The sequence below is a fragment of the Homo sapiens genome, chromosome 22, assembly GCF_000001405.40.
Source record: "Homo sapiens chromosome 22, GRCh38.p14 Primary Assembly".
Classification (NCBI taxonomy): Eukaryota; Metazoa; Chordata; class Mammalia; order Primates; family Hominidae; genus Homo; species Homo sapiens.
Genome location: NC_000022.11, coordinates 24011075 through 24023291, shown reverse-complemented (window position 1 = coordinate 24023291; position 12217 = coordinate 24011075). Strand labels below are relative to the sequence as shown.

At 41.6% G+C, this 12217-nt stretch overlaps 1 protein-coding gene across 50 annotated transcripts in view; it reads right to left on the bottom strand.

Moving 5' to 3' along the window:
• The window catches only part of CABIN1 (calcineurin binding protein 1), a 167325-nt gene extending 155337 nt beyond the window's left edge, over positions 1-11988 (bottom strand). For 25 of the 50 annotated variants that reach the window (XM_005261415.4, XM_006724179.3, XM_005261416.4 and 22 more), the window contains exon 1: positions 11564-11922. The gene's annotated coding sequence lies outside the window, so the exon portion shown is untranslated. The other 25 variants (XM_024452184.2, XM_047441217.1, XM_047441221.1 and 22 more) reach the window with 2 other exon arrangements.

Here is a 12217-nt window from a genome sequence, read left to right as displayed (position 1 = left end):
AGATGGATAAACAAAATGTGGTATACAAATACAATGAAATAGTATTCAGCCACAAAAAGGAATGAAATTGTGATACATGCTCTATAACATGAATGAACCTTGAAAACACTATGTTAAGTAAAATAGGCCATATACAAAAGTACAAATATTGTTTGATATACAAGGTACCTAGAGACTGAAAGTACCACAGCCTGCAAGAAGGGAGGAATCAAGAGTTACTGCCTAATAAACACAAAGTTTCTGTTTGGTATGATAAAAATTTTTTGGAAATAGATAGTGGCACAGTTATACAATGTTGTGAATGTTCTTTATGCCACTGAATTGTTCACTTAAAATGGTTACAATGGTAAATTTTATGTTATACAAATTTTGGCACAATAAAAAAAGACCAATTAAAAAATGGGCAAAAGACTTGAACAGATACTTCACCAAAGACAAGTAAATAAATTAAAAGATGCTCAACCTCATTCATCATTAGAGAAATATGAATTAAAACCATGATGAGCTACCATATGCACCTATTAAAATAGCTGTATTTTTTTAAAAACTGATAATGCCAACACAGAGCAACTGGAAGAATCATACACTGCTGATAGGAATGGAAAATGGTTCAACCATGCTAGAAAACAGTTTCTTATAAAACTCAACATACACTAGCATATGATACATCAATCTCACTCCTAGTTATTTATCCTAGAGAAATGTTCACACAAAACTTGTATAAAAATGTTTACAGCTCCACTCAAATCACCAAAAACTGGAAACAACTCAAATATCCTTCATTAGGTGAGTAGATAAACTGTGATATATCATACAGTGGAATACTACTACTAATGTGAAGGAACAAACAATTGATATATGAAACAACTGAGGTGAATTTCAAAGGCATTATGCTAAGTGAGAAAAGCCAGTCTCAAAAGGTTGTACACTATTATATTTCTATTTACATGACATTCTTGAAATGACAAAACTATAGTGATGGAGAACACATCAGGGGCAGCCCGGGGTAAAGGAAGGTGTCTGTAAAGGGGTGCCATAAGCAATGGACTGTTCCTTATCCTGATAGTGGTAATGATGGTGGTGGTAACAAGTCTACACATGTGTCAAAAGTCACAGAACTATAACTCCAAAAAAGGTCAAATAATTTAATTAAACATAATAAGTATAAAAAAATTCTAATAAAAGGAAATACAATTTGTTAAAAAAAATAGCACAGGGATAGACATCAAAGTAGAATTCAAGCCCAAAAGTATTAAATGTAACAAAGGCACAATTCACACTGATGATATGACAGTCAAGAATATGCTGGCCGGGCACGGTGGCTCACACCTGTAATCCCAGCACTTTGGGAGGCCAAGGTGGGTAGATCACCTGAGGTCGGGGATTCGAGACCAGCCTGGCCAACATGGTGAAACCCCATCTCTACTAAAAATACAAAAAATAGCTGGGCATGGTGGCATGTGCCTATAATCCCAGCTACTTGGGAAGCTGAGGCAGGAGAATCGCTTGAACCTGGGAGGCAGAGCCACTGCACTCCAGCCTGGGGCAACAGAGTGAGGCTCTGTCTCCAAAACAAAAACAAAAACAAAAACAAAAAACAAAGAATAACCCAAAGGAGATGCAAGGACACATAAACAGTAACACCCTAAAAATTAGAGGCTTCAAACCAATCTCAAAACAAGACAGATCACGCACCAAGTATGGCAGTGTGCACCTGTAATTTCACCTACTCAGGAGGCTAAGGCCCAGAAGTTCAAGTCCAGCCTGGGCAACACAGCAAGACCCCATCTCTTGAAAAAATAATAAATAAATAATTTTTTAAAAAAGACAAATTGATCGGGCACTGTGGCTCACACCTGTAATCCCAACACTTTGGCAGGCCAAGGCAGGAAGATGGCTTGAGCCCAAGAGTTCGAGACTAGCCTGGGCAACATAGTGAGACCCTGTCTCTACAAAAATATTTTAAAATGATGGCCAGGCTTGGTGGCTCATGCCTGTAATCCCAGCACTTTGGGAGGCTGGGGTTGGAGGATCCTTTGACTCCAGGAGTCCGAGACCACCCTGGGCAAGATAGTGAGACCCCCATCTCTAAAATAAATAAATAAATAAATAAATAAAATAAAAATTAGCCAGGCATGGTGATATGCACCTGTAGTCCCAGCTACTGAGCAGACTGAAGTGGGAGGATCACTTGAACCCAGGAGTTCAAGGCTGCAGTGAGCCATGATCACACCACTGCATTCCAGCCTGGGATACACAGTGAGACCCTGTCTCAAAAAAAAAAAATTTTTTTAAAGACAAATCAAGTGGAGAAAAAATGAGGAGACAGATGATTGATCTAAACAACATAACAGAGGAGATGATATAGATGTATATCAAACTCCACACCTTGATAACAGAAATGATATATTCTTCTCCAGTGCTCACAGCACATTCACACACACACACACACACAAAAACTGCTCATGTCACAAAGAAAACACCTTCCATCAAGTAAAGATACTAAAAACAACACTTGCCAATCATAATGCTTAAAACTAGAATTTACTAACACGACCATCACCACCAACAGAAGAAAGGTGTGTCTATCTAAAAATTTGAGAATCTCCTGATAAACAACTTCCAGATAAAAGGAAATGCAATGAAAATGTTGGAGAAATTTAAAGAAATACTAACGGACAGACATGGTGGCTCATGACTGTAATCTGCCTATAATCCCAGCACTTTGGGAGGCTGAGGCAGGAGTTTGAGACCAGTCTGGGCAACATAGGGAGACCTCATCTCTACAAAAAAAATTTTAAAATTAGCTGGGTATAGTGGCACATGCCTGTAATCCCAGCTACTTGGGAGGCTGACGGAGGAGGATCATTTGAGCCTGAGAAGTTGAGGCAGCAGTAAGCAGTAATTGCACCACTGTATGCCGGCCTGGGTGACAAAGTGAGACCCCGTATCAAAAATAAAAAAATAAAAAATAGATACTAACAAAAAAACACACATCACATGTGAAAACACAATGTAATCATCTAAGGGAAAAATAATTACATGATTATCTCCACAGAAGGGAAAGTCTGACAAAATTCAATATCTATTCATAATAAAAAATACTCAGGAAAATACAGAAATTGAGATACTTTAATATATAAATACACCTTAGTCCTAAAGCCAAAATCTTATTTCATGGGCAAACCTTATTTCAGAGGCATGTCCATTAATTTCAGAGATTAATATCAAGAACAAAGCAAAAATGTCCACTATCTCTGCTACTATCCACCTGTGCAATATTAGCCAATAAAATTAGAAGAGATAAATCAATTAGAGATATAAAAATGGGTAAAGGCCAAGCACAGTGACTCACGCCTGTAATCCCAGCACTTTGGGAGGCTGAGGTGAGTGGATCATCTGAGGTCGGGAGTTCAAGACCAGCCTGACCAACATGGAGAAACCCCGTCTCTACTAAAAATACAAAATTAGCTGGGCATGGTGGCGCATGCCTGTGATCCCAGCTACTCGGGAGGGTGAAGCAGGAGAATTGCTTGAACCCAGGAAGCAGAGGTTGTGGTGAGCTAAGATTGCACCATTGCACTCCAGCCTGGGCAACAAGGGCGAAACTCCGTCTCAAAAAAAAAAAAAAAAAAAAAAAAGGGTAAAGAAAAGCTATCACTAATTGTAGATAATATGATATACTACCTGGAAAACCCCAAAATCAATGATAAAATTTATTCAATAATAACTCAGCAGGCGGGGCATGGTGGCTCATGCCTGTAATCCCAGTGCTCTGCGAGGCTGAGGTGGGTGGATTGCTTGAGGTCAGCAGTTCGAGACCATCCTGGCCAACACGGTGAAACCCTGTCTCTACCAAAAATACAAAAATTACAGGCTCACGCCTGTAATCCCAGCACTTTGGGAGGCCAAGGCAGGAGGATCAAGAAGTCAGGAGTTCGAGGCTAGCCTGACCAACATGGTGAAACCCTGTCTCTACCAAAAATACAAAAAATCAGCCGGGCATGGTGGCGCATGCCTGTAATCCCAGCTACTCAGGAGGCTGAGGCAGGAGAATCACTTAAACTCAGGAGGCGGAGGTTGCAGTGAGCCAAGATTGCCCCACTGCACTCCAGCCTGGGCGACAGAGTGAGACTCCTTCTCAAAAAAAAAAAAAAAAAAAAAAAAAAAACAACACTCAGTGAAGTTGCACAATATAAGATTAATACATAAAAATCAATAGCCTTCATATATACAAACCATAAAAGAAGACATTATGGTAGAGAAAAATCCCATTTGCAATAGCAACAAGATCATTAAATACTTAGGAATAAAGTTAATTAAAACTGTGCAAGAAAAAGTTTAAATCACTATTAAAAGACACTAAAGTTAACTTGAACAAATGAAATGACATCCCCTGTTCCTGGATAGGATTCAAAAATATAAAGATGTCAGTTCTTCCCAAGTTAATTTATACATTCAATGCAATCCCAATACAAATACTGACAAGATAATATTGACAAGTTGATACTAAAATTCATATGGAAAAACAAAAATTTAAGACTAGGAAAACAATGAAAAAAAAACTGTAAGGGGGGATAGGTATAACAGACATTAAAACCTACTGTACAAAGCCTTCATAATGAAACAGTGAGGTACTGCTGCATATGTACACAAAAAGATGAGGTCCAGAATTAGACTCAAGTACATATGGAAATAAAAAATATGGCAAAGATGGCATCTCAAATCACTAGAGTCAAGATGAACTTTGTATTAAATACTGCTGGAACAGTATTCACTGTTGGAAAAAGATAACTCACAAGAATAAACTTGCAAATGAATTAGAAATCTAAATGATAAAAAATGAAACCATACAACTACTAAAGGAGATACTGGTGAATTCCTCTTTAACCTTTGTATTAACACTTAGTATTACGTAGTAGAGAAGGGCCAAATATGATTTAAAATTCACAAACAGTAAAAGAGTGATACATTTAACTACATAAAAATTTAAAAATTTTTGCATGACAAAAAAAAATTTAAAAACTCAGAAAAAAAATTAAAAGCTAACAAATTGGGAGAAAATATTTGCAACATATACCACTGACAAGGGACTAATACCCCTAATATACAAACAGCTCTTAAAAACTGAGAAACAGGATGGGCATGGTGGCTCACACCTTTAGTCCCAGCACTTTGGGAAGCCGAGGTGAAAGGATTGCTTGAGGCCAGGAGTTCAAAACCAGCCTGGGCAACACAGAGAGACTCCATCTCTACAAAAAATTTAAAAATTAGCCAGGGCATGGTGGTACACATCTGTAGTCCCAGCTACTCAGGGCAGTTGAGGTAGAAGGTTGAGGCTACAGTGAGCTGTGATCACGCCATTGCATTCCAGCCTGGGTGACAAGAGCACCATACTATTTTAAATAAATAAATAACGTTTTACAACTGAGGGACACAGCATTACTTACAATAGTCGAAAGGTGGCCTCCTTTAAGCTGAAGCTAAGAAAAAAAAAAAAATGGTGAAAGCAACCCAACTGTTCATGACAGATGAATGGCTAAACAAAATGTAGTATATACATACAATGAAACATTTATTATTCAGCCTTAAAAAGGAAGGTAATCCTGACACATGTCACAAAAAAGAAGGCAATTCCGAAATATGCTACAACGTGGATGAACCTTGAAGACATTACAGTAAGTCGAATAAGCCAGTCATAAAAAGACAAATATTGTACGATTCCATGTATATAACGTACCTACAGTAGTCAAATTCATAGAAACAGAAAGTAGAATAGTGGCCACAGGGCTAGGGGAGGGAAGAATGGGAATTCCTGTTTAATGGATACAGAGTTTCAGTTTGAAAAGATGAAAAAAGTTCCGGAGATGGATGGTGGTGATGGCTGCATAACAATGTGGATGTATTTAATGGCACAAAATGGCACACTTAAAAAATGGTTAAAATGATAAATTGGGTCAGGCGCAGTGGCTCACGCCTGTAATCCCAGCACTTTGGGAGGCTGAGGCAGGCGGATGAGGAGGTCAGGAGATGGAGACCATCCTGGCTAACACAGTGAAACCCTGTCTCTGCTAAAAATACAAAAAAATTGGCTGGGCATGGTGGCACGCGCCTGTAGTCCCAGCTACTCGGGAGGCTGAGGCAGGAGAATTGCTTGAACCCAAGAGGTGGAGGTTGCAGTGAGCCGAGATCGCGCCATTGCACTCCAGCCTGGTGAGGGAGACTCCATCTCAAAAAAAAAAAAAAAAAAAAGATAAATTGTATGTTGCTTATATTTTATCACAATTTTTTTTAAAAAGCTAAAGAACAGAAAAACAAAAACCTGGTAGACAAATGGAGAAAAAATACGAACAGATAAATCACAAAAGAAGACGCAACTAGCTCTAAAACATATGAAAAAATGTTCAAATCATTCATAGAGATATGCATATTAAAACAAAACAACACTAGACACTATTTCTCACTGCAAAAATTAAAGCATGACAGCACACACTGTTGGCGAGGTTGTGGAGAAACAGGCGCTATTCTCATACACTGTTGGAAATTGGTACAACCCTTCTGGAGGGAAATTTGACTATATCTGAGAAAACTACATATGCATTTACCTTTCAACCCAGCAATTCCACTTCTAGAAACTACCCTGAATATGTACCTCCAACAATACAAAAATACATATGCACAGAATTATTCACCGTGCAGCACTGTTTGTAACTGCAAGATAATGGAAGCAGCTTAAATGGCCATAGATAGGAGAGTAGATGAATAAACTATTATAACGTACTATGGTACATACTATGGTACATTCATGTAATGAAGTACTATGCAGCTGTAAAAATTAATGAGGCAATGTTCATAGCAACATAATTCAAAATAATGCATAAGTAGAAACCCAAAATCCATCAACTGATAAATGGATAAACAAAAGGTGGTATATCCATAAAATGGAATATTATTCAGCCATAAAAATAATGAAACACTGACAACATGGATGAACCATGAAAACATTATCCTAAGTGGAAGAAGCCAGTAACAAAATACCACATATTGTATGATCCCATTTACATGAAATGTCCAAAACAGGCAAATTTATAAAGTCAGAAAGTGGATTTGTGGTTGCCTAGAGCTGGGGGAAGACAGGATGGGAAGTAACTGCTAATTGCTAATGGATCAGGGTTTCTTTTAAGGGTGATAAAAATGTTCTAAAATGTATTGCGATGATGCTTGCATAACTGTGTATGTACTAAAAACCACTCAATTGTATACTTAAATCGGTCAATTGTAAGGTATGTAAATTATATCTCAATAAAGATGTTTTTGCTTGTTTGTGTTTTCTTGAGACCGGGTCTCGCCCTGTCGCCCTGGCTGGAGTGCAGTGGCGCGATCTCGGCTCTCTGCAACCTCTGCCTCCCGGGTTCAAGCGATACTCCTGCCTCAGCTTCCCGGGTAGCTGGGACTACATGCATGCACCACCATGCCCAGCTAATTTTTTTTGTATTTTTAGTAGAAAGGGGTTTCACCATGTTGGTCAGGCTGGCCTCAAACTCCAGACCTCAAATGATCTGCCCACCTCAGCCTCCCAAAGTCTGGGATTACAGGCGTGAGCCACCATGCCTGGCCTCAATAAAGATGTTTTTAAAAATTAATGAGGGGCCGGGCGCAGTGGCTCATGCCTGTAATCCTAGCACTTTGGGAGGCTGAGGCGGGCGGATCACAAGGTCAGAAGATCGAGACCATCCTGGCTAACACGGTGAAACCCCGTCTCTACTAAAAATACAAAAAATTAGCCAGGCGCGGTGGTGGGCGCCTGTAGTCCCAGCTACTCGGGAGGCTCAGGCAGCAGAACGGCGTGAACCCGGGAGGCGGAGCTTGCAGTGAGCCGAGATAGCGCCAATGCACTCAGGCCTGGGCAAAAGAGCGAGACTCCGTCTCAAAAAAAAAAAAAGAATGAAGAAGATCTCTATGAACAGATATGGGGTGATTTTCAAGACACACTATTCTTTTTTTTTTTTTTTTTTTTTTTTGGAGATGGATTCTCACTCGGCCGGTCACCCAGGCTGGAGTGCAGTGGTGCAATCTCGGCTCACTGCAACATCTGCCTCCCAGGTTCAAGCGATTCTCCAGCCTCAGCCTTCCAAGTGGCTGGGATTACAGGTGCCCACCACCACACCCGGCTAATTTTTTTGTATTTTTAGTAGAGACGGGGTTTCACCATGTTGGCCAGGCTAGTCTTGAAATCCTGACCTCAGGCAATCTGCCCACCTCAGCCTCCTAAAGTGCTGGGATTACAGGCATGAGCCACCACGCCTGGCCTAAAACATACTATTAAGTGAAAAAAGCAAACACAATTATCTATATAGCATGTCACCTTCGTATAAGAAAGAAGAGGATGTGAAAAAATACACAACTAACTGTTCACTTGTGCGAAAGAAACACGAGATAATCCAGATACCAAAGTTAGCTATACAGGGTAGGTGGGAAAGCGGTGAAAAGAAGGGGTGAATGGGAACAGGGCAGTAGGCATAAGAAGGGAAAGACACTTCTCTGAGTATACCTTTGTGTGTAGCTCTGACTCTCAGAAATCAGTCATAATTCATACCGCAAAAACAACTAAAATCAGCTAGGATGCAGGGGGAACTCAAAATGAAATATAAACACTAACAATGAACCTAACTATTACAACTAACATAACCACTCTGAAAGGCATGAGGAAGAAAGGAACTAACCTAAGTAACTGTAGAAAATGGTATCTTGACTGGATAGGCTAAAGACAAAAAGAACTGATTCCAGAGTTGGGTCAGAGAAAACACAAGATGAGCCTGGAACACCTTGTGGTGTGCCATAAAGTAAGTGCTTGAAGGAAAAAAAAAAAAATGAGGGCCAGTTGATAGGCCACAGAAGCTAACCTGAAGGAGATCCTAACTAAATAGCCAATGCTGGAACAGTAAGCAACAAAATAATGATGATAATGAATTTTAACTCATAGAATATAATACATATCCATGGCCTACACTGACACATAAATAATCAAATAAATAAATAAAAGAGAGAGAGGGTAGTTCTCCTTTCAGTAGAACTTGACTTAATAATGTAGAAGGAAAGAGAGAAATAATTACCTTTAGGCAAACACCACAAAGATCTGCAGATGGATGCTAAAGTCAGGGAGCAAATTTGTGGAGAACGAGAATTTGTGTCCTCTCAATGTATCTCTCCCAAGAGACTTATTAATTAGAAAGGGATAGTAATTTTATGGTGTAGAAACCTGGTAGACACCAAGTAAACCAATAGATCAAGGTAAATATCACCAGTAATAAGACATTCCAATATCTTGGACTCCATGTGATGCACTGAGAAAGACACAAAGATAATGTGTCTTTGTGTTCTGGCCAACAATGCATAATCTCACCCCAATCATTAGAAAACACTGGACAAACCTTTAAATTGAGAGACGTTAGACAAAATAACTGATCACTACTCTTTAAAAGCATCAAAGCCAAGGAAAACAAGAAAAGACTAAGGAAGTGTTATGGACCAAGGAGAAATAACTAAATGCAACATGGGATCTTGGATAGGGTCCTGGAATGAAAACACAACCTTAATTTAAAAAATGGTAACATTCATATCACATCTGTAATGTAGTTAATAATACTGTACCAACACTAGATTTCTGTTCTTGATAATTGTATGATTATGTAAGATGTTAACATTAGGGAAAGCAGGGTGAAGGACATAACAGAGCGTTTTGTATTGTTGCAATTTTTCTCTAAATCTAAAATTAGTTTAAAAAGCTTAAAAAGAGGCCGGGCATGGTGGCTCACGCCTATAATCCCAGCACTTTTGGAGGCCGAGGCGGGCGGATCATGAGGTCAGGAGATCAAGACCATCCTGGCTAACACGGTGAAACTCCGTCTCTACTAAAAAATACAAAAAACTAGCAGGGTATGGTGAGAGGCGCCTGTAGTCCCAGCTACTAGGGAGGCTGAGGCAGGAGAATGGCGTGAACCCAGGCGGCGGAGCTTGCAGTGAGGCGAGATCGCACCACTGCACTCCAGCCTGGGCCACAGGCGAGACTCCATCTCAAAAAAAAAAAAAAAAAAGCTTAAAAAGAAATAACCATTTTGATTATATATTTATCATCTGTAAGCAATGTGAGGATGGTAACCATTTATGTATTGTTCACCATAAATCCAAGAAACTCACTAAAAGGAGCTTTTAAAAAAAAAAAAGCTATTGAGGCCGGGCGCGGTGTCTGACGCCTGTAATCCCAACACTTTCAGAGGCCGAGGCGGGTGGATCACCTGAGGTCAGGAGTTTGAGAGCAGCCTGACCAATACGGTGAAACCCCGTCTCTACTAAAAATACAAAAATTAGCCAAGCATGGTGGCGGGTGTCTGTAGTCCCAGCTACTCGGGAGGCCGAGACAGGAGAACTGCTTGAACCCGGGAGGCGGAGATTGCAGTGAGCCGAGATCATGCCACTGCACTCCAGCCTGGGCGACAGACCAAGGCTCCGTCACACACACACACACAAAAGCTATTGAATAATCATGAAAAAGAAAAATATCTATTCATTTCTGACTCCCAGCCCAGCAGCTGCATTTCCTCAGATAGCAGCACATTCACCAGGCTTATTAGTCTAAGCTAATAAGTTTCCAAACCCCTTAGAATATAGTTTCCATGGCCTCAGAACACGATAAAGAGTAGCACACCTTCAGACCTCAGCACCCTGATCCAGAGTGATAACTGGGGATGTTTCCTGGCCTGGAAGGTGGGAAGCCTATGTCTTAAGCTCAGTGGTGGCAGTGCCCTGGCTGTGTGACTGACTTGACATAGATGTCAGTCTCTCAGTCTGTTTCCCCTCATGTATGAGGCTTTGTACTAGATGAGGGTTCTGCAAGCTAACCAGCCCACCCTTTTTGTACAGCCCACGAGCAAAGAATGGTTTTTACATTTTTTCATATTTGGGAAAAAAAATCATGACACGTGAAAATTATATTAACAATATATAAAATTAAAACTTCGGTCCCTATAATTAAAATTTTATTGCGACGCAGCTAGTCTGTTATGTATTGTCTTTGGCTGTATCCACACTACATCGCTACAGTTAAGTAGACAGAGTATGGACCCCCCAAGCCTAAACTACTATTATGAATACTATTATACTCATTATACTTACAATATAACAATGTAAACACTGATATATTTACAACAAAAGTTTGCCGACCGCTGAACGAGACTGTTCTAAGCATATTCTATTTCTAACCACAATAATCACATAGAAAGAATCTTAGCCACATGGAATCCGACGGTCCCACACTTATAACCTGTAATAACCCAGGTCCTGAAGAGTTAAGTGACTCCCAAAGCCACTTGTGCAGATACCTTGGGAATGCCAGGTGAGTTCCATCTGGCCAGGGCCCGCCTCTTGCGGGGAGGCAGTGAAGCAGAACGGTCAAAATTTTCAGTCTGGAGTCGCGCTCACCCACTGGGTGACTTGGAGCAAATCATTTCACCTACCCGCGGCCTCAGTTTCCACCCCTGTAAATGGCACCAATAACAACACTCACCTCGCAGGGCTGCTGTGAAGGTGAAGCGAAAGGTCGCGAGTAAAGGGTTAGCGCGCTGGGCTTTGCACCCAGCAGACGCCAAATCAATGGTGGCTCCTGCGGTTACTGGGAACCTCCCCGGAGGCCGGAACCCATTCTAGGCACCTCAGGGCGGCGGCGAGAGCCATGAAGAGGCTCGCGAGGCAGCCAGGAAGCCCGGCCTCGGTTTCCCTGACTGGGGCTCTAAAGCTGCCCGCGAAACCCCCAGCTTCCTCACGTAACCCAGCCTCGCGCCTGCAGCCCCTCCGGCCTGTGCCCCGGGCTCTGCTGAGCCTCACCCCCACCCCGGCACCGCCTTCAAACCAGCCTTCCAGGAACTCACCAGGCGTCTCCACAGCAACGGCCAGTCTGTCCCGACCACCGCGCCGTCCGGCTGCGCGCCTGACAACAAGGCGTGCTCCCATTGGCTCCGGTGCCGGTTGTGCCAGCCAATCAGCGGGGGCGCACGCGCCGCTCGCTCTCCGCGGGCTGCTTAGCTGGGGCCCTGCAGACGGCTACCCTTGGGCGGCGCGCGCGCGCGTGCGCGCGTGTGTGCGCGTGTGTGCGCGCGTGCGCGTGTGCGTGTGCGTGTGTGTGTGTGTGTGTGTGTGTGTGTGTGTGTGTGTGTGTGTGTTG